Source organism: Homo sapiens, chromosome 6, assembly GCF_000001405.40.
Source record: "Homo sapiens chromosome 6, GRCh38.p14 Primary Assembly".
NCBI lineage: Eukaryota > Metazoa > Chordata > Mammalia > Primates > Hominidae > Homo > Homo sapiens.
In genome coordinates, this window is record NC_000006.12 from 113,851,447 (window position 1) to 113,873,403 (window position 21,957).

The following is a 21,957-nucleotide window of genomic DNA, read 5'->3' on the forward strand; positions in this document are numbered from 1 at the left end:
CCTTCTATAAGGTCATCAAACTGCAACTCTCCCTTTTCTTCTTTCCTCTTAGCTGAATAGAAACCATCAGAGGGAAACTTTCTCATCTTCCCACCAGCAAATCTATAGCCATCCTCTTGTTCTCTCATTACAGAATATTTTAAAAAGCAGAATGTCTTTTAAAACCCAATTTTTCAGCATGTGCCCTATATCCCCATCCCTTCCTGCCTTCTCAGAAATGTTTTTCCATTCTTTATTCCTTTTCCTCTTGTATCTTCATTTTCCTTTCTACTGTATTAGTTTCCAGATCAGTTAAATGTGCTCTGATGCCTTCCATCCAAGACAGCATAACACAAGCCAAAAAAACATTAAGTGGGTTGAGCATTCCTTATCTGAAATTCTTGGGACCGGAAGTGTTTCAGATTTCAGATTTTTTTGAATTTTGGAATGTTTTCATATACATAATGAGATATCTTGGGGATGAGAACCCAAGTCTAAACACGACATTTATTTATGTTTCAAATATACTTATAAACATAGCCTGAATATAATTTCATACAATATTTTAAATAATATTGTGCATGAAACAAAATTTGTGTACATTGAAATTTATGTACATTGTGAAAAAAATTTGTGTACATTGAACTACTTTAGTACCCTTTGTGGTGTGCTTGCATGGGGGAATCTGGACGTGCAAAGAAAACATATATTGCAGCTGACAGGGGCTGGGGGGATGTTTTTTCTCCTTGGAGACACTGAATAAACTGTGTGTCATGTATGTGTGTTTTTACCATGACCCCTCACATGAGGCTAGATGTGGAATTTTCCACTTGTGGTGTCATATTAACACTCAAAAATTTCAGATTTTGGATTTCAGATGTTCCCATCAGGGATGCTCAACCCGTCCCAGCCCTCTCCAGCTACTGCCTTGTCTCCCTAAACCTTTACTGAGTCCAGCTTTATAAAGAGGTGACTATGCCATCATCTTCTTCATCTTCCATTTTATCCTCAACACACGAAATCCAGCTTCCACTCTCAACATACTACAAAAACTGCTCTGGAGCCTGTATCCAGTAGTTTCTGTCCTACAACATGCAATGGAAACATCTCAGTATTTCATTTGAACACTCAACAGCATTTGACAAAACTCACTACTCCTCCTTGAAACACTGTCTTTATTGACTTTCCTGACCCCACACTCTCCTGGCTTTCTGTCTACTCTTTGAGAATTCCTTCTCAGTCTTCTTTGCCATCTTGGCTCCTTTTCTACGGATCCTCTGAGAGCAGAAATTACTCAGGGCATCATTCTGTAATCTCTTATCTTTTGCATTTTCCTGTGACTTGGCTTCTAAAAATATTTTCATGTGGAATGATCACAAATCAGTATTTACATTCAAAACTGTAGTTTGAACTTCAGACTTACATCTGTGAACTTCACTCTTCTACTGAGACGTTTTACAGGAATCTGAAAATATGTTCTAACTCATCTCTCTACCTTCCTCCCAAATCCATGCTGAACTCTTCCTCCTCATGGGCTTTGCTATTTCCTCCATCTGAACACAGCTCTTCACCTCTTTACCTGACTAATGCCTACTCTTCCCTTAGGTTCCCACTTAAATGTTACTTATTTCAAAAGGCCTTCTTTAACCCTCCTAATGAAATTATACTATCTTATAGCACAAAATAGAACTTCAAATGGTCACATGTACTCCCTATTTTCGTTAAAAGTACATGTGACGGTTTAAAGTTATATTTCAGTCTGTGATCTCATTGTTAAATGCTGGCTTCTCCCCTCTCTTGTTAGGCTAGAAGCATTTGAGTGAGCCATCTGCATTATTAATTCCCTCACCTCTTCAAATCTGCTCGAAGTTTGTCTTCTCAATGAGGCCTTTCCCGGCCTATATGGAATTACATCTCAACTCTCCCCTGAACTCCCATCTCCCTTATTTTGCTTTAGTTTCCCCCACCACTCCACCTCTCCCACAACACTTACAGACTTCTAACATTTCATATAATTTGCTGACTTACATTTTTTTAACTTGTGCTTTTCTCCCCACCCAAGAATGTATGCTTTATAAAGACTTCTTGTCTGTTTTGTTCACTGACATATCCCAAATGCCTACTACATGATAGGAGTTCAATAAATGCTTGCCGAGTGAACTGAGGGGCTATGTCTGTTTTCCTCCCCACCACATTGCAAGCTAATCAATTTCTGTGGAATTAAATTTCAAGTAGCATAAAATCTAAGATGAAGGATGGAGCAGAACACTGCCTGCACAGTGGGATTGCATATGTTGTGAATGCATGAATGCTTCCAGGTGAAAAAGGCGTATTTAATTTGGAATCTACAAAGTGGCTGTCATCTTTTGTATTGTTTTTTAAGCACACAGTTAATCTTGTTTTTCTTTCTTTCTTCACATATTAAGAAGTTTTAAGAAATAATAATACAAATGTAAGCTGCATGAGAGGAAAGACCATGTCTATATTTGTCCCTGGTGTAAGCTGATGTCTAAAGCCTTTTTCCTCGCACTTAGGAGGACCTTAATAAATACTTTAAGAATGAATGACTGACCTACTGAGTGAATCTGTGCCATCAAGGGAAGATGGCAGCACTGGCAGTGGTGGAAAAAGCCAGGACTCAGAATCATCAAGGGGGCTGAGCTCTATTCGTGGCTCTACCATCTGAGAAATCTGGCAACGCTCTGGTGCCTATTTCTTCATCGTTGAGAGGGGGAAGCCAGGTGCTCCAGTTCAACTTCACTAGATGATCTTCTAAATTGGAAGCCCCTGAAGGTCAGAGACTGAGTTTATATTGTTCAATGATATGAAAACAAGATCTAGATTATTGTGTTTGGCACACTGGGCCCTCAAGATTTTGTGGAATGGTCTCTAAAATTCTTTCCAACGCTAACATTTTGCAGAAAAATAACAGGTCTCTTAAATAAATTGCTTTTTTTCTAAAAAGAAACCTATACACCGATTATTATTATCTTGCAAATATGTTAGGGCAGGGTGAAAGTGGAGTACAAATAAAAAATAAATGACCGTTTCTTCCTGCTGATTTGGTTACAGACACCGGTTTTACATTTTCACTATGAACTCTTGGGTTCTTTAGTCATATTTATATAAACACTTTTGGCGCTTTATTTGAAACCTTTAACTCTGCGTGTGAGAACACCAAACTCCTGAGGAGCGAGCCACACTTGCACTGTACTGCTTCCCTACTAGTTCCACGTTCTTGGCCTTCCTTCCCTGTCATTATGCAGGTTTTCAAGAAGAACCACAACCGTTTCCCATTTCCCAGCCCGTTCTTCCTCACCCATCCTCCGCCGGGACCCCCTTCCCTATAAGCTGAAGAAATCCCTTGCTTGGACGACGCTAGTCGCTGGGGGAGGTTGGGGAAAGGGTGGCCCAGCCCTCAGCGGCCGCCGGCAGCGCCCCCAAGGAGCCTCCGCCTGCCACTTGCTGGGGACTGTCGGCTTTCCAGCTACCGTAGAATGCGCTTGCGTATCAAAAAGAAATCATCTTTCTACTGTAAACTAGAGACCGAGACCGCTCGTGGGGAGGGAATCTATGTGTTTACACTTTTTTTTTTTTTTTTTTTTTTTTTTGCCCCGGAGCTGCTGCGGGAATTGATTGGCTCCCTTGCGCCCCTGACGCTGGGACTGTCCCCCCGCCGCGCCCCGCCCGCACCCCGCCCGCACCCCGCCCCCTCGCGCGGCCATCTGCTTCGCAGTCTGTCTCCCAGTCTCTCACTCGGCCCCTCTCCCCTCCACCACTCCCAGCCCCCGTCTCCCCCACCGTCACCCCCCAGCGCCGGCTCCGCCTCTTCCCCCTCCCCGGCCCAGTGCTCCGAATCTTCCCCGGCCGTTGCCAGGGAGACCAGCCGATACCAGGCAAATAGGCGTACCAGAAAGAAAAGGGGGGAAAGCTACACGGCAGCCTGGTAACAAAGGAGCAATAAAAGCAGCCCCCAAATGGAGGGCTAAGGACGCGTCTGGGAGAAAATCTGAAAGCGAGCTAGCAGTCACCCCAATTTAAAATAGGAGGGGGATGCGGAGGAAGGGGCATGATTCACGTTGGGGGTGGGGGGAAATCAAGAGCCTTAAATGGGCTTTTGGGAATCGCCTGGATGGTGGTGTCGGATCAGCCCAGTTGGCTTTTCAAGTTGGAACTGCTAATACAAGGGATTTGCGTCCATCCTGGCGGCTGGGGTCGTGGGCCAGGCCAGCGGGCTCTCTTAAGGGTAATAACACGTTTGCTGGCAAGATGCATTTCTACGGAAACGTCTTTACATCAGCTCTGGGGAATATGACCATGGTCGAATAATGCATCTGAAGGAACTGGACAGTGAGAAGACGAAGCTTCACGTAACAATGTTCAGCTTGGTGATTTTTAAAGCAACGCTTGAACAAAGAGTTACTGGCTTGAACCAACCGTCTTTTTCACTCAGAGTGTGACCTATTTCCCTACAATGAGCAGAAAATAAAACTGTTTGAGAATTCAGAGCCAGCACCAGGAGAAATGAACCATTCCCTCGACTGCTTCTCACCTTCATAAGCGAAAGATTATTCCTTGCAAGATCACCAAATGTAAACGAGAAAAGGTGGTCTGATTTTGCCACGAGTGAAAACTTTGGGAAGAAAATGCTTATTAAGCTGTTTCCTTGGTTCCCCTCACCCCTCATACTTTAAGTCAGTGCCTTGTCTCTCACGCACAAAAAGCGTCTGGTACTTCGGTGGCAAGGAGTGCAGTGACAGATGGAGGTATCCTGTGTACCATTATAGAAGGTTTTCCTCTAACCCAAGTTAGACTTGGAGAGCTCAGGGATCTTGCTATCTCTCAACATACAGAACATTTCTCCTTAGAACTGCAATCCGGTTTAGAATGTCATCGTTGCTGCTGCCTCCCTTCCTTTCAGGAGCACATTCGCCTGCGTGCGCACTCACACACACGTTCAAAAAGAGTCCATTCGATTCTGGCAGTAGGCTGAAAACGATCCATATTGACGCGAATAACATCCCAACTGTAAATATGGATTCGTCTACTCGAGGCTGTGTCTCATTTCACCATAGAGGAAAATTATGTCATTTAAAACAGTGATAAAACGCGAAGAGTTTCGATCTTCTGTAAATGGCTCTCACTTTGAATTGTGGGGGAAAAAAATCACTAATTGGGAATAGCCAGAGAAGGGGGAATTTGTTGAGCGCCCAAGGCCAATCTCAAAATATTTTATTTCATGCCAATGTGGGAGAGGGAAGGGAGTGTGGCTTCGCTGTTTGCCGCTTTTGCATTTTCCACATCTGGCCTACAGACCTAATTCTAACTTGCGATCTCGCTTGATGAAATTCGATCTTCGTGGTTTAAATACCTTTCAATTTGGGACGATTTAACCATTGCAGCAGTTCAAAAAACAAACCCTGAGCATTATCTGTAAAACCAATATGGAAAAAAGAAAGAAAACATGCTGCAAACACACAAATCGCAACCATTGTCTTTAACACTCGCATACACACACATACACATAAACACACGGAAAGATGGGGGAGGGGAGCGAGTGGAGAGAGAGAGACACACGGATATAGACCGACGAGAGTCAATGCGAGTCAAGTTAACGCTTTCTCCGCCCCGATGCACAAGTACCCCCCTCCCGTGTTAATTAATTCCAAACAAAGCAAGCCAATCAAGAAATGCATTATTATTTTCAAGCAGAGAGAGACGAGTGCCATGTATTTTTTAATTGATTTATTTATTTGGAGGACATTAATTCTCGGTCTGAGGCTGATTTTCAAACCGTTTGCAAAGCGCGGCTCCATTGTTCGCCAGGCGCGCAGACCCCGCCCCCTGCTTTGTGTGCGGCGCGCGGATTGGCCGACGCGCGCGGGGGCCGCGTCAGCGCCCGCGAGCCCATTCATCTGTGCACTTGGGCGTTGGACCCCGCATCTTATTAGCAACCAGGGAGATTTCTCCATTTTCCTCTTGTCTACAGTGCGGCTACAAATCTGGGATTTTTTTATTACTTCTTTTTTTTTCGAACTACACTTGGGCTCCTTTTTTTGTGCTCGACTTTTCCACCCTTTTTCCCTCCCTCCTGTGCTGCTGCTTTTTGATCTCTTCGACTAAAATTTTTTTATCCGGAGTGTATTTAATCGGTTCTGTTCTGTCCTCTCCACCACCCCCACCCCCCTCCCTCCGGTGTGTGTGCCGCTGCCGCTGTTGCCGCCGCCGCTGCTGCTGCTGCTCGCCCCGTCGTTACACCAACCCGAGGCTCTTTGTTTCCCCTCTTGGATCTGTTGAGTTTCTTTGTTGAAGAAGCCAGCATGGGTGCCCAGTTCTCCAAGACCGCAGCGAAGGGAGAAGCCGCCGCGGAGAGGCCTGGGGAGGCGGCTGTGGCCTCGTCGCCTTCCAAAGCGAACGGACAGGTAAATTCTACCTGTGGTTGTGGTCATTTATTTCGTGTCTTTCTCTCCTTCCCTCCTGGTGGCTCCCAAGGCTCATTCGTGGAGAGGAGTGTGGCTGGATTCTAGTCTGAAAGTTGAATGGAAATGGATAGCCTAAATTGTGGATTTTTCATAGCCGGGGTCCCCCCACACCAAAGGAGTGGTTCCTTAGAATCCTGGAGAATTCTTGAGTAGACGGGAGGAAAGGAGTGATAAATCGTCTAAAATGGCGTGGTTTGGAGATTGGCAGAACGTGACTAGCTAGGTGCCCTCCTTCCCCCGCCCCCAGCCAGGTTTCATTTGTGTTTGGGGGCACAATGGTGTTTGGGTGTCTCTCGGGTTTGTTGTCGAAGCTGGATTGTCTTCGAGATTTCTGAACTGGTGGTGTGATTGTGTGTGGCGGGGGGGGGAGTCGGGAAAGGGGGGCGCAATGGGGATGGTGGTGGAGAAAGGCGAGGAGGGAAAGGCTGTCTTATTGTATGCCGCGGCGGCGTGCCCTGGGTTCTTGGAAAGGTGGCTGGCTGGGGCCAGACAGAGGGCTTCGGTACCTTTTGATGAGGCTTTCCCACTGTCCTAAATCTTTATTCGTAGCTGTCTGTGGAATTACACATCCATTTGATTTTTAAATGGTATCTGTGGGGTGGGAACACTCGGTGGGTCCTTTAAGAACCTTTCCAGATGGTCAAAAAGAGGCGGTTCGTGCCTTTCGGTCGGGATTGTTCTTGTGCGTGGCGCCTCGACCACCCGCGAGGGGCCGCCCGGCGCTGCCCGGACCCAGGCAGATAGCCACGATTGGGTGGACCCGAGAGGTCGGCCATGGGTGGCTGCTTCGCAAACACTGGGCACCCACCACGCCTCTTTTCCTAGAGAAGAGATCGTGTCGCTTCGCCTGCTCTAACCTACTGGGGAAAGCGAGGTCTGCCAAGAGGCTTTAAACCCGTTAAAAATGCAAAATGAGCCGCCGAGGCGCGCCCAGGCTTCGCAGAATCGCAGGGGAAGGTGGGCGTGGAAGCAGAGGCGAGACCTCAGAAATAATGGGTTTCCCCCTGCCTTGTTGGTTTCAGCCCGACCGGCAGGCCAGGAAACCACCTGAGCTTTGTTTGCGGACTGTTGGGCTGCGCGATCCGGGCTCGGGGGCGCCTCGGCCTGCGGGCAGGGCCCGGCTGGGCAGGGCGGGGTGGCCCGGCGACTCCGCCCCTCCTCGCCTGCCTGCGCCCAACGCGGCGCGGTGGAGGCACAGCGCCCCCTGCCGGTGCCAAAGGCCTGGGTGGGCGCAGGAGCTCGGAGGGCCCCGCGCGGGCGCTCCTGGCTCGAGTGCTGTGATCCCCCTGGGAATTCCTGGTATTTTGAAGAGGCCTTTATGTATTTAGGGCGAAAGAGGGATGTGAAACGTAGGCGCGAACCACCAGCTCTGGCTCTGTGCCTTCTTCCAAAGGGCGTTTGCTGTGTCAACTAGTCCCTGGCACCTTTTTTCCCCCAAGCCCCCGATAAAGCGAGGGCTGGCATGGTTAGCCTTTGCTTGCTACGTTTCGGACTTCGTCTTTAGGGCACTTGCTGAATGGCTGGGAGGCCATTGCCGTACTTGGGGGCTACAGTTGTGTTTTCGGGGGGTCTCCAGGCAGCGGTGCCCATTTCCTCGTTCGTGGGGCTCTCTTCTGGGCATCCACCCGCGCCTCCCTCCCCACAACGGCGGGGGTGGGGTCTCGATGGCCACAGGGGCCTTAGGGGGAAGCGGGGCACTCCCGGTCCAGGGCTGGGGGCGGGAATGGCGGCGCCCCGGCCGCTTCAGTGACGCTCCCGCTTTCTCTGCCCCTTAGGAGAATGGCCACGTGAAGGTAAACGGCGACGCTTCGCCCGCGGCCGCCGAGTCGGGCGCCAAGGAGGAGCTGCAGGCCAACGGCAGCGCCCCGGCCGCCGACAAGGAGGAGCCCGCGGCCGCCGGGAGCGGGGCGGCGTCGCCCTCCGCGGCCGAGAAAGGTGAGCCGGCCGCCGCCGCTGCCCCCGAGGCCGGGGCCAGCCCGGTAGAGAAGGAGGCCCCCGCGGAAGGCGAGGCTGCCGAGCCCGGCTCGCCCACGGCCGCGGAGGGAGAGGCCGCGTCGGCCGCCTCCTCGACTTCTTCGCCCAAGGCCGAGGACGGGGCCACGCCCTCGCCCAGCAACGAGACCCCGAAAAAAAAAAAGAAGCGCTTTTCCTTCAAGAAGTCTTTCAAGCTGAGCGGCTTCTCCTTCAAGAAGAACAAGAAGGAGGCTGGAGAAGGCGGTGAGGCTGAGGCGCCCGCTGCCGAAGGCGGCAAGGACGAGGCCGCCGGGGGCGCAGCTGCGGCCGCCGCCGAGGCGGGCGCGGCCTCCGGGGAGCAGGCAGCGGCGCCGGGCGAGGAGGCGGCAGCGGGCGAGGAGGGGGCGGCGGGTGGCGACCCGCAGGAGGCCAAGCCCCAGGAGGCCGCTGTCGCGCCAGAGAAGCCGCCCGCCAGCGACGAGACCAAGGCCGCCGAGGAGCCCAGCAAGGTGGAGGAGAAAAAGGCCGAGGAGGCCGGGGCCAGCGCCGCCGCCTGCGAGGCCCCCTCCGCCGCCGGGCCCGGCGCGCCCCCGGAGCAGGAGGCAGCCCCCGCGGAGGAGCCCGCGGCCGCCGCAGCCTCGTCAGCCTGCGCAGCCCCCTCACAGGAGGCCCAGCCCGAGTGCAGTCCAGAAGCCCCCCCAGCGGAGGCGGCAGAGTAAAAGAGCAAGCTTTTGTGAGATAATCGAAGAACTTTTCTCCCCCGTTTGTTTGTTGGAGTGGTGCCAGGTACTGGTTTTGGAGAACTTGTCTACAACCAGGGATTGATTTTAAAGATGTCTTTTTTTATTTTACTTTTTTTTAAGCACCAAATTTTGTTGTTTTTTTTTTTTCTCCCCTCCCCACAGATCCCATCTCAAATCATTCTGTTAACCACCATTCCAACAGGTCGAGGAGAGCTTAAACACCTTCTTCCTCTGCCTTGTTTCTCTTTTATTTTTTATTTTTTCGCATCAGTATTAATGTTTTTGCATACTTTGCATCTTTATTCAAAAGTGTAAACTTTCTTTGTCAATCTATGGACATGCCCATATATGAAGGAGATGGGTGGGTCAAAAAGGGATATCAAATGAAGTGATGGGGTCACAATGGGGAAATTGAAGTGGTGCATAACATTGCCAAAATAGTGTGCCACTAGAAATGGTGTAAAGGCTGTCTTTTTTTTTTTTTTAAAAGAAAAGTTATTACCATGTATTTTGTGAGGCAGGTTTACAACACTACAAGTCTTGAGTTAAGAAGGAAAGAGGAAAAAAGAAAAAACACCAATACCCAGATTTAAAAAAAAAAAAACGATCATAGTCTTAGGAGTTCATTTAAACCATAGGAACTTTTCACTTATCTCATGTTAGCTGTACCAGTCAGTGATTAAGTAGAACTACAAGTTGTATAGGCTTTATTGTTTATTGCTGGTTTATGACCTTAATAAAGTGTAATTATGTATTACCAGCAGGGTGTTTTTAACTGTGACTATTGTATAAAAACAAATCTTGATATCCAGAAGCACATGAAGTTTGCAACTTTCCACCCTGCCCATTTTTGTAAAACTGCAGTCATCTTGGACCTTTTAAAACACAAATTTTAAACTCAACCAAGCTGTGATAAGTGGAATGGTTACTGTTTATACTGTGGTATGTTTTTGATTACAGCAGATAATGCTTTCTTTTCCAGTCGTCTTTGAGAATAAAGGAAAAAAAATCTTCAGATGCAATGGTTTTGTGTAGCATCTTGTCTATCATGTTTTGTAAATACTGGAGAAGCTTTGACCAATTTGACTTAGAGATGGAATGTAACTTTGCTTACAAAAATTGCTATTAAACTCCTGCTTAAGGTGTTCTAATTTTCTGTGAGCACACTAAAAGCGAAAAATAAATGTGAATAAAATGTACAAATTTGTTGTGTTTTTTTATGTTCTAATAATACTGAGACTTCTAGGTCTTAGGTTAATTTTTAGGAAGATCTTGCATGCCATCAGGAGTAAATTTTATTGTGGTTCTTAATCTGAAGTTTTCAAGCTCTGAAATTCATAATCCGCAGTGTCAGATTACGTAGAGGAAGATCTTACAACATTTCCATGTCAAATCTGTTACCATTTATTGGCATTTAGTTTTCATTTAAGAATTGAACATAATTATTTTTATTGTAGCTATATAGCATGTCAGATTAAATCATTTACAACAAAAGGGGTGTGAACCTAAGACTATTTAAATGTCTTATGAGAAAATTTCATAAAGCCATTCTCTTGTCATTCAGGTCCAGAAACAAATTTTAAACTGAGTGAGAGTCTATAGAATCCATACTGCAGATGGGTCATGAAATGTGACCAAATGTGTTTCAAAAATTGATGGTGTATTACCTGCTATTGTAATTGCTTAGTGCTTGGCTAATTTCCAAATTATTGCATAATATGTTCTACCTTAAGAAAACAGGTTTATGTAACAAAGTAATGGTGTTGAATGGATGATGTCAGTTCATGGGCCTTTAGCATAGTTTTAAGCATCCTTTTTTTTTTTTTTTTTTGAAAGTGTGTTAGCATCTTGTTACTCAAAGGATAAGACAGACAATAATACTTCACTGAATCTTAATAATCTTTACTAGTTTACCTCCTCTGCTCTTTGCCACCCGATAACTGGATATCTTTTCCTTCAAAGGACCCTAAACTGATTGAAATTTAAGATATGTATCAAAAACATTATTTCATTTAATGCACATCTGTTTTGCTGTTTTTGAGCAGTGTGCAGTTTAGGGTTCATGATAAATCATTGAACCACATGTGTAACAACTGAATGCCAAATCTTAAACTCATTAGAAAAATAACAAATTAGGTTTTGACACGCATTCTTAATTGGAATAATGGATCAAAAATAGTGGTTCATGACCTTACCAAACACCCTTGCTACTAATAAAATCAAATAACACTTAGAAGGGTATGTATTTTTAGTTAGGGTTTCTTGATCTTGGAGGATGTTTGAAAGTTAAAAATTGAATTTGGTAACCAAAGGACTGATTTATGGGTCTTTCCTATCTTAACCAACGTTTTCTTAGTTACCTAGATGGCCAAGTACAGTGCCTGGTATGTAGTAAGACTCAGTAAAAAAGTGGATTTTTAAAAATAACTCCCAAAGTGAATAGTCAAAAATCCTGTTAGCAAACTGTTATATATTGCTAAGTTTGTTCTTTTAACAGCTGGAATTTATTAAGATGCATTATTTTGATTTTATTCACTGCCTAAAACACTTTGGGTGGTATTGATGGAGTTGGTGGATTTTCCTCCAAGTGATTAAATGAAATTTGACGTATCTTTTCATCCAAAGTTTTGTACATCATGTTTTCTAACGGAAAAAAATGTTAATATGGCTTTTTTGTATTACTAAAAATAGCTTTGAGATTAAGGAAAAATAAATAACTCTTGTACAGTTCAGTATTGTCTATTAAATCTGTATTGGCAGTATGTATAATGGCATTTGCTGTGGTTACAAAATACTTCCTCTGGGTTATAATAATCATTTGATCCAATTCCTATTGCTTGTAAAATAAAGTTTTACCAGTTGATATAATCAAGCCTGCTAAAATAGGATTTTTTTTTACAAATTTTATTTTAAAATGCAAATATTTTTAGAGAAAATTTTTAAATCTTAAGTGTTAAAGGTAAGCATTCAGTTTAAGAGATTTAAATGATATGCTTGGCATTATATTTAACAAATAAAATTATATCCATTGAAGGTGAGTTGTATGCCCCCAAGCCAATTAAAAATTTTAACGATAGAACTTGATAACATATTTGAGAAACAATGCAATTTTTTTATCATATGAATATAAACAATATATCTTTTCAATTAAAGTTAAGGATTTGGGGTAAGGTACTTTTCACAGCCATATATATATATATATATATATATATATATATATATATATGTTTATTTATTTACTTATAGGCAGGTGTCTTACTATGTTGCTCAGGCTGGTCTTGAACTCTGGGCTCAAACGATCCTCCTGCCTCGGCCTCCCAAAGTTCTAGGATTACAGGCATGAGCCACCACACATCCCTGGACATGCAGTCATATTTTTTAGATAGATCCTTGACTAGCAGTTGGTAGGGGAGTATAGTTTAATGTAGCCTCAGTCAAGTTTGAAAATTTTTAAAAGTAAGTAAGAGATCTATTAGATTTTAACTTCCCTTTAATCATTCACTGCATATTGAGCATTTTTTTCCCCTCTCCACATCCTATGAAAGTAGAGTGTGCCACACAGGAATTTTAAAATGCTTTTAATCTGTAAATGTTCCAGTCCCCCCTGTTGGGGATTCAAGTTCCAGCACTCTTTTTAAATTATACTCAAGAATGCTATTCTGAAAATGGAAAATAAATACTTTTAAAAGATTAGGTGTCAATTTCAACAACTTTAGGATTTCCTATATGTTTTCAATATTTTAAAAGTATTCAATAGATATACTTGGGTGTAGTTGACTAAAACTGATGAGATTATCTTTTTTTCTATTTTACCTTTAGTAACATGCCAATCACTAATGAATTATAAAAAGCAATCTTTTCAGTGTTACTTGTTTACATATGTTCTTCATTTAAGTTGTAGGTAGGTGAAACAGATCAATTTTTTGTCTGGAATTTATTCAACCCAAAAGGTTCTCTGAAATTTCTCTTTCAGAGACATATGGAAATCACTCCTTATTTATAGTTATGGCTCATATTTAAGAAAAAATGATAATACATAGTTTGATCTCTTGCCTAATACTTTGAGTGATAATGACTTACTGTAAGCCATACCTTTTCTCAAAAGATGAGGATTTGGCATCATTTAGAAAAACTGTCTTCTGGATAATAGGCATTTCTTGTTAAATTCTAAAAATACTTTGAATCTTAAAAGCATCAACTAAATTAATGAATAAACCTTTCAAGACCACTGTAAGGGAAGCCCCATATTTAGATATATAAGTTGTATTTCATTCTTAAGAAAGAAAATTCTTTATAGATTGGTGTTGAAAATGTAAATGAAACATTTTTTTAAATTTTTGCTTATGAGACTTGAAATTTGAATGTTCAAAAATAAACTGTGTAACTCTTTATAGAATTCTGGGGTAATTATGGTCTCAAACTCCACATTACAAAGTTAACAACCATCCAGTATCAAAATAGGAGCTTTTTTTTTTTTTTTTTTTGAGACAGGGTCTCACTCTTGCCCAGGCTGGAGTGCAGTTCACTGCAACCTCCTGGGTTCAAGCAATTCTTGTGCCTCAGCCTCCCAAATAGCTGGGATTACAGGCATGCACCACCATTCCCAGCTAATTTTTGTGTTCTACGTAGAGACGGGGTTTTGCCATGTTGGCCAGGCTGGTCTCGAACTTCCAGCCTAAGCAGGCCTACCTCTGCCTCCCAAAATTCTGGGATTAGAGGCGTGAGCCACCGCGCCAAGACAAAATAGCATTCTTTATAAGCATTTTGTTTCAGGTCCTTGATAGAGGCTAAATGAAGTTAAATACACAGCTAAGTGGCATAGTATGCCCTTGGAAATACAAGAAGGGAAAAAAAGTAAACCTTTTATAGTAATCAATTTAAATCTAAAGAATTTCATTTACAGACTGTAATGTTGAGAAAGCTAAATTAATGTTTGCATTGATTCTTTATAATGCTTACTAATGTGCAGTGTTGAAGTGCATTCAAGGAACAAGATATTCAGCAATCCACTTCTATAGTATTTTGCTTTCTCTGTAACAGGGTACTCTCCCTCTCCCCTTTTTCCTCCATCTCAATCCTCCAAATGGGTAATCCAATTACCCCAAAATGCTGCAAAAGTACTGCTTGAGGAAATGTTTGGAAGGATACTTCAACTATAAAAATAATTATTCTGAGATTCTATGTTGACTTAATAAGGATAATTTTACAGGAGACAATCAAAATTAAGGATGTGAAAAAGAGATCTAATTACAAGGAGTCTTGATAAAAACTTGACTCTCCAAAAACCTTTTTTTTCCTATTTCAGTGCCTTAAAATTATTTTAAAAACAGACATTTTCATTATTTGATTTCTTGGCAATTCTTAAAGATTACTTTGATGATTGTGGAAACTATCATTCAGGGATATAGATGATAAGCCAAAATGCAAAGTTTTTAATCCTGTAGGTTTCGAGCCACTGTTGTGCTGCCAAATAAGTATACTCATTTGATAAGCATTTAAATCTACCTAATTAAACCTGTATGGATTAATTGTACTAAAATGAAAATCTGGGTAAGATACAACTGAGCCTGCCAAGAAATACAAGCAGTGGATGTTAATCATATTTTATGTTCCTGAAAAAGTAAAAAATTACTGATGCTGAAATACTCCTAACTACAATTCCTCCTCTCAGCATCAACTTTTAAGCAAAATGAAGTATTTATCTTTGTCACAAAATTTAGCAGCTGCAAATATGTAAGTATTGCAAAAATTTCTAGAAATCTGTATTAAGCCCAGTTCTAGTGTTTTGGTAAAATTGGGGCATAAGACTTTTTCTAGTGTTGTTTATAAATGAAATATGAGAGTATCTTTTTTACATTATTTATTTATTTATTTTTGAAATAGAGTCTCACTCTATCGCCCAGGCCGGAGTGCAGTGGTGCAATCATGGCTCACTGCTGCCTCGACCTCTGAGACTCAAGTGATCCTCCCACCTCAGCCTCCAAAGTAGCTGCGATTACAGGCGTGTACCACCATACCCAGCCAATTTTTTTTATTTTTTTGTAGAGATGGGGTCTTGAACTCCTGGACTCAAGTGATCCTCCCACACTGGCCTCCCAAAGTGTTGAGATTACAGGTGTAAGCCACTGCGGCAGCCTGAGAATATCTAGTACCACTGGTAAAGGAAAAATGAGAGTATCTTTGTCAATTGCTATTATTATAGCTTCTCTTTTTCCTTGGAAATGGTAAAAGGCAACAGAACTATCCATCACTTAGGATTTCAATAAATATAACAAATTTCAGTGACATTTTTTCAGTTAGCATTACATGTTGTCTGCCTGAGAAGTAGGCACATGTTCTTCAGGTTTGAAATGTGAATTAAGGACTGCATATAGCGCTAGAATTCTGCACCTAGGTTATTAAATGTGTGGTGCAAAAAGGAAAGGGATTATTGGGGAGAGTTATAAATTGGAAGTCAAAGAAAGTCTTTGAAGCGAATCTTAGGTCAAATGACAGGTACCTGTACTTTTGAAAAGTGCCATCCAATAGAAATATAAAGTGAGCACATAATTTTAAAGTTATTTACTAGCCATATTTTTTAAGGAAGAAGGAACAGCTGAAATTAACTTTAATAATCTAATTTAGTATATCCAAACTATCATTTCAACATGTAATCAATACAAAAACTAGTAACGAGATATCTTTCTTTTTTTCTTGCTAAGTCTTTGAAATCCAGTGTAATGTATACTTACAACACATCTCAGTTTGGATCAGCCACATTTCAAGTGTTTACTAGTTCATGTGTGACTACCATATTGGAGAAAATAGAACTATAGAATTAGTCTGAAAGTGAAGGAGTGGTTAGGATTGTTTGGCTGTGGACTTTGCAAAGTATAGCATGGTGATTAATGCCAGGAGCTTACAAAGTTTAGCTTTTGAGCCAATATTGAAGGTAACCATTTTAAGCAGTTTATATGGCATTGATATCACAAATAAACAGAGCAAGATTCTGAATGGACTTGTTATGAACTGAATTATGTCCCTGCAAATTCCCACTAATGCCTTAACCCCCAGTACCTCAGAATGTGACTGTATTTGGAAAGAGAACTTTAAAGGTGATTAAGTTAAAATCAGGCCATTAGAGTGGTCCATGATCTAATCTGATTGGTGTCCTTATAATAAGAATAAGAAATTTGGGCATGAACCCATGGCCAAGATTGCCTTGTCTGTACTTCCACTCAGTCCCCAACCCCAACACCAGACTCTTGGATAATTTGGAAGCAAATTTCAGATTATAAATCTTTTCTTCTGTAACTATTTTAGGAAGTATTTTTAGAAGATAAAGACTCAACAAAACCCACAATACCATTAGCACACCTGCAAAAATGAAAACTTTCTTGTCATCATTAAATATCCAGCCAACACACAAATTTCTCCAATAATCTTATTACTTTTTCACACTTTGTTGATTAAAATCTGAATCCAAATAACATTCTGTGATGGTTAATTTTATGTGTCAACTTGACTGGGTTAAGGGATAGCCAGATAGCTGGTAAAACATTTCTGGGTGGGTCTGTGAGAGAATTTTCAGAAGAGACTAGCATTTGAAGCAGTAAACTGAGTACAGAAGAACCACCCTCATCAATATGGACAGGCATCATCCAATCTGTTAAGGGTTCCAATAGAATAAAAAGAGAAGGGCAAATTCTCTCCCTCTTGGGGCTGGGACATCCATCTTCTCCTGACTTCATTGAGCTTTCAGACTCCAAGATTACACCAATGGCCCCAGTTTCTCTGGCCTTCGGACTCAGACTGAATTACAACATTGGCTTCCTTGGTTGTACAGCTTGCAGATGGGATGTTGTGGAACTTCTCACCCTCCATAATCATGTGAGCTGGCTTCCATAACAAATTCCCTCTTATATACCCATATATATCCTCTTGGTTCTGTTTCTCTGGAGAACGCTAATACACATCCATAAATTGCATCTGGTAAGCATATCTCCGAAGTGTCTTTAACCATGTCTTTATTTTTCCCTTGCAATTTATTTCTGCAAGAAACTAAATTGTTTGTTCTATAGTTTCCATGGTATGAATTTTGCTTGATTGTACCTCATGCTGTAGTTTAGTACATTCCTTTGTCTTTTCTGTGTCTCTTGTGTTTTATATAAATTGATGAATAGATCTAGAGGCTTGATCAGATTCAGGTTCAAAAGATGAAATCATAGATAATTGTGTATATTTCAACCAGGAGGCACATAATATTTAGTTGTTTCTTTTCTGTGTTCTATTCAAAGCCATTGCTTTTTGCTTAGATTCATTAATTAAATCAGGATTGCCACATCTTGTTATTGTAATTATCATTCCTTTCTCATTTATCTACTGAGTTACTTTTTTTTTTAACTGCTCCTTGTGGAGCAGGGCTACCCATAGGCAGTGTGCCCACAATAGCTGATGCTCAGTTACTGTTTTAAATTTTTTCTTTCTTTTTAAAGACAGGGTCTAGATATGTTGCACAGGCTGGTCTCAAACTTCTGGGCTCAAGTGATCTGCCCATCACGGCCTCCCAAAGTGCTGGGATTACAGGCATGAGCCACCACGCCTGGCCTCTTCAGTTACTTTTATAAAGAGGAACTTTCTTTCATTATCACCCATTTGGTTGTTCAAAGTACAATTTTTTATGGAAAGACAGAAAAAATGTTTGCTTCTTTCCCTTTAATTACTGATTTTCAGAATAGTTAGTTAATTCTCTAGTATTCTCCAAAGGTGACTGATATGGTTTTGCTGTGTCCCCACCCAAATCTCATCTTGAATTCTCATATATTATGTGAGGGACTGGTGGAAGGTAATTGAATCATGGGGGAAGGTCTTTCCCGTGCTGATAGTAGATAAGTGTCACGAGATCTGATGGTTTTAAAAAAGGAGTTCCCCAGCACAAGCTCTTTTCCCTTGTCTGCTATCATGTGAGATGTGCCTTTCGCCTTCCACCATGATTGTGAGGCTTCCCCAGCCACACGTGGAACTGTAAGTCCAATTAAACATTTCTTTTGTAAATTGCCCAGTCATGGGTATGTCTTTATCAACAGCATGAAAACAGACTTAATACAGTGACCAATGATTTTATTTGTTTGCTTAGTATCATTATTGACTCAGATTTAAACTTATTTTACGTAAGCAATATGTGATGCTCAAAATGATCCAAAGTAGATTGTCTTTTAAAGTTAGTAATAGGACTCAATAAGTAAAATCAGTTTAAATTTATGGAGATGCTACTTCGGAATTTGCTAAAAGGTAAATGAAACTCAATATTTACTCAAATAAAATGGATTTACTTATAAGTGCTGTCATACGCCTAAATTTTAGTTGGGGTATCATGCTGAGAAGCCTTTCATTGTACACAATTTCAAAGAAATGAGAGTCATGGCAACTTTTTCTTACCTTCGAATTACTGCATTGTAGTTACATTTAAGTGTCATCAAACATTGATCAACATAACACGTTACTCCATGTACTAAGAAAAATGTTTAGAAATTTACTAACATAAGGAGACTCAGCCATCAGCAGTCACTGGAGACGTATATGTTGGCACTTGGTGAAGCAGTACACTAAATAGAACATGTTGGTCAATAGGCAATACTAATTAACTTAGCAAAATATTAAAACTTTTATCATAGAATATAGATCAAGAAATTGGCAATTTTTAAGGAAAAAATATACTCACTGCGGAGCCCAAAGTGTCCTTTGGCAGGATTACTTCACAGCTTTATATAAAAAAAGAATTTTTGAGGATGTTAGATTTAAGTGACCACGGGGTAACATTTCTTTCTAAGTAAATCACCAACTAGAGCTATTTATTTTAGTGTATTTGAGAAACTGGGAGCCATTGGATGAGGCAATAGATCATCTAAAATAGGTAACATTTGAATAGAATTAAGGACTTCTGGTGAGATTATAATGAAAAAGAAGCCTATAGATTAAGGTCAGATTATACAATATTAATTATTAACTGGAAAAACAATTATGTTAACAATGCCATTTTCCTCCAGTGTCTGAGGTACTATCTAGCTAGTTCATTACTTGGCTTACCATATACAATGAATGTCTTTTTTTCCTTTTCTCATTTGCTTCCTGATATTTTGAAAGCATGAGTTACTGCCGGGAAACAAGGGATACAGAAAAGACAGAGAAATGTATTAAGTGACAGTAGAAGACAGAGGAATGTATTAAATTACAGCAACTGCATATGTTTAAAAATTTTCAGAACATTTTAAATGAGAATTTTTATGTTAATTTAAAAAATTAGTTGCTATATAGCTTCTAATTTAAAATTTTCACATGGTCTAGAAGCAAAATTTACTAGAACTCCAGTGATGAGTTTATTTAAAACAAACAAAAAATATACCAATACTAGTTTATTTTCCAAACTATAGTGAGAAGTTGTTATTCATATATCTGGATTTGAATTATACATTTTTCAGCATTCTTACCACAGCACAAAGATTTTTTTCATGCTTAGTAATGTTTAGTGAACAGGAAGGACTTAATATAACAATCAGTAAGAAAGAATTCTAGCTTTCTAGCTGTAGTATTATCATATGAAAAAGATTTTTTTTTCCTTGAGACAGAGTCTTACTTGCTCTGTCACCCAGGCTGTAGTGCAGTGGTGCCATCTCAGCCCACTGCAACCTCCACCTCCTGGGTTCAAGTGATTCTCGTGCCTCGGCCTCCCAAGTAGCTGGGATTACAGGTGTGCATCACCATGCCAGGCTAATTTTTTTTTTTATTTTTAGTAGAGACAAGTTCTCACCATGTTGGAAAGGCTGGTCTTGAACTCCTGACCTCAAGTGATCTGCCTGCCTCAGTCTCCCAAAGTGCTGGGATTACAGGCATGAGCCACCATGCCGGGCTTGAAAAATATTTTCTGTAAAGCATTTCTACCATAACTTCTTGAGACTTAAAACAGAGAAAAACATATTCATTGAGAAAATGCAGTTTTGATTTTTTATTGTTTAGATCAAGAATACGAACATTGAAACCAATTACTCATAAAGGGTGCTTCCTCTAGACCTTCTTATTGTCCTGAATTCCTATTTCATTAGCAAAAGTACATTTACATGAAATATATATATATATATATATATATATATTTCATATATATGAATCTGGCATAAATATGGATGCATACTTCCCATTATTAAAATTAGAATTCTTTAAACAAAACAAAATTTTCCTCTATTTTCAATTCTTGTCACTTCTGCCATTTGCTGCTTGAAGTCCTTAAAAAATATTATGTCTTCTGAATGCTTTCTAAGACTATAGAGAATATTGGTTGAATGAGGTTTAGAGTTGGCTAAAGGAGGGCTTTTTTGACCAGAAGTTGATTCTCTGAAGTTTTTTGTGTGTCTTTAACTTGTTTTTTTCCACTGATTAATCTTTCATAGTATGTAGTTATAATGGTAACCATCACGTACATCTGACCTACAATAAAGAAGAAAATGGACAGAAAAAAGATTATTAACTTTTCTTCCTTTTTTGTTCTTCTGTAGGTCTCATTCCTGTCAGTTAGACTTGAGGTCATGCTATTTCCTGTTGGGGTCACGAGGATGAATTAGTGATTAGACACTTAGGTGCTGGACTCAAAGGGACCTGGCTCCATCACATGCAAACTTTTTGTAAAAGAAGGTACATTGTTTTATAATGTGCGTTTTTGGTTGAATATTAAACTAAAACTTGAGAGCAATCTAGCTCAGGTAGACACTGGTGTCCTGAAATCATTTGCAATACATTTAAACTAAGATATACTAGATAAAGATATTAAAACAAAAGAAAAGGTTTAGATTTTATTCCATATTTCATTTATATTTTTACCAAACACCTATTGAATATCTAATATGTTCTAGGGAATGGACTTGGATCTAGAAACTTAAGAGTGAATGTGCAAATGCCTAGAATCTGTTCTGGTAAGAAATTCACTTCAGTAAAAAACAATACTAATATTATCAATAATAATCCATAATGTGATTTTTTAAAGCCAACTCATTTAATCTATTATATCTATATAATAGATTAGATTATAATCTAGACTGTATAATCTATAGTCTAGATTATAGACATTTAATAAAAACAAATTGAATTTTGTAAAAAAAGTACTTAATATACCTAGTAAAGTTTTATATGCCAAGTTTGTATTTTAATAATATTTTTATTTTAATAAATATCAGGAAGAAATAAACATAAAACATAGGAAGTGCATGTTCAGGTTATCTATTGTCATATTACAAACCACCTGAAAACTCAGTCGTATAAAACAACAATTATTTTTAAATTTTTGAACAGCTTTATATATAATTGACATATAATAAACTGCACATTTTAAAGTGCACACTTTGATAAGCATACATAGGTACACACCTGTGAAACCATCGCCAAAATCAAGATCATGACCGTATCCACAAATTTCATGATTCTGTAGGTCAAGGATTAGAGCAGCCATAAGCAGAGAGTTTGTCCCTGATACACGATGTTTTTGGCCACAGCTGTAGTTGTTTGGATAGCTGGGGGCTCCTGGGATGGCTAGAGTGGGATCATATGCCTGGAGTCTTCATTCTTCTCCATTGGATGTTTGCTGGGATGAGAAGGTCCAAGATAGTCCTTTGATAATGTGTCGTGGTGCCTGGGCTGGGATGGCTGAAACACAGGAGACCTAGCAGAAATTCTCTATACTCACCGCCATCTCCGGATAGTCAGACTTCTCACTCGGCAGCTGGCTTCCCCCAGGTCCGAAGTTCAAGAGACTTTCAAAAGACAGGAAGTGAAAGCTG

General features: G+C 40.9%; 1 protein-coding gene and 1 long non-coding RNA gene across 2 annotated transcripts, besides 8 other annotated features; one reads left to right on the forward strand and one right to left on the reverse strand.

Annotated features, from left to right (window-relative positions):
• Positions 3,654 to 3,863: a silencer, noted in NCBI's record as "silent region_17486". NCBI's record gives its function as "represses an Ori minimal core promoter by ATAC-STARR-seq in GM12878 lymphoblastoid cells {active_cell/tissue: GM12878}" and the evidence as "EXISTENCE:reporter gene assay evidence [ECO:0000049][PMID:35858748]".
• Positions 4,654 to 4,713: an enhancer, noted in NCBI's record as "active region_24971". NCBI's record gives its function as "activates an Ori minimal core promoter by ATAC-STARR-seq in GM12878 lymphoblastoid cells {active_cell/tissue: GM12878}" and the evidence as "EXISTENCE:reporter gene assay evidence [ECO:0000049][PMID:35858748]".
• Positions 4,734 to 4,783: an enhancer, noted in NCBI's record as "active region_24972". NCBI's record gives its function as "activates an Ori minimal core promoter by ATAC-STARR-seq in GM12878 lymphoblastoid cells {active_cell/tissue: GM12878}" and the evidence as "EXISTENCE:reporter gene assay evidence [ECO:0000049][PMID:35858748]".
• Positions 5,054 to 5,599: an enhancer, noted in NCBI's record as "OCT4-NANOG-H3K27ac hESC enhancer chr6:114177679-114178224 (GRCh37/hg19 assembly coordinates)". NCBI's record gives its function as "activates a minimal SCP1, AML or CMV promoter by ChIP-STARR-seq in primed H9 embryonic stem cells {active_cell/tissue: H9 hESC(primed)}" and the evidence as "EXISTENCE:reporter gene assay evidence [ECO:0000049][PMID:30033119]".
• Positions 5,600 to 6,143: an enhancer, noted in NCBI's record as "OCT4-NANOG-H3K27ac-H3K4me1 hESC enhancer chr6:114178225-114178768 (GRCh37/hg19 assembly coordinates)". NCBI's record gives its function as "activates a minimal SCP1, AML or CMV promoter by ChIP-STARR-seq in primed H9 embryonic stem cells {active_cell/tissue: H9 hESC(primed)}" and the evidence as "EXISTENCE:reporter gene assay evidence [ECO:0000049][PMID:30033119]".
• MARCKS (myristoylated alanine rich protein kinase C substrate) lies at positions 5,899 to 12,029 on the forward strand. Its single transcript, NM_002356.7, has 2 exons — positions 5,899 to 6,401; positions 8,237 to 12,029. Exons 1-2 carry the CDS (start codon positions 6,300 to 6,302, stop codon positions 9,131 to 9,133), a joined length of 999 nt encoding a protein of 332 aa, NP_002347.5. The 5' UTR covers positions 5,899 to 6,299; the 3' UTR covers positions 9,134 to 12,029.
• Positions 5,931 to 5,980: an enhancer, noted in NCBI's record as "active region_24973". NCBI's record gives its function as "activates an Ori minimal core promoter by ATAC-STARR-seq in GM12878 lymphoblastoid cells {active_cell/tissue: GM12878}" and the evidence as "EXISTENCE:reporter gene assay evidence [ECO:0000049][PMID:35858748]".
• Positions 7,446 to 7,775: a silencer, noted in NCBI's record as "silent region_17487". NCBI's record gives its function as "represses an Ori minimal core promoter by ATAC-STARR-seq in GM12878 lymphoblastoid cells {active_cell/tissue: GM12878}" and the evidence as "EXISTENCE:reporter gene assay evidence [ECO:0000049][PMID:35858748]".
• Positions 7,779 to 8,322: an enhancer, noted in NCBI's record as "H3K27ac-H3K4me1 hESC enhancer chr6:114180401-114180944 (GRCh37/hg19 assembly coordinates)". NCBI's record gives its function as "activates a minimal SCP1, AML or CMV promoter by ChIP-STARR-seq in naive H9 embryonic stem cells {active_cell/tissue: H9 hESC(naive)}" and the evidence as "EXISTENCE:reporter gene assay evidence [ECO:0000049][PMID:30033119]".
• A 4,537-nt stretch (positions 12,030 to 16,566) lies between the features above and the next one.
• On the reverse strand, positions 16,567 to 21,901 carry MROCKI (MARCKS cis regulating lncRNA promoter of cytokines and inflammation). Its single transcript, NR_038863.2, is given in 3 exon segments — positions 16,567 to 18,897; positions 19,223 to 19,288; positions 21,548 to 21,901. It is a non-coding gene; the product is annotated as an MARCKS cis regulating lncRNA promoter of cytokines and inflammation (long non-coding RNA).
• Between the last annotated feature and the right edge of the window lie 56 nt (positions 21,902 to 21,957).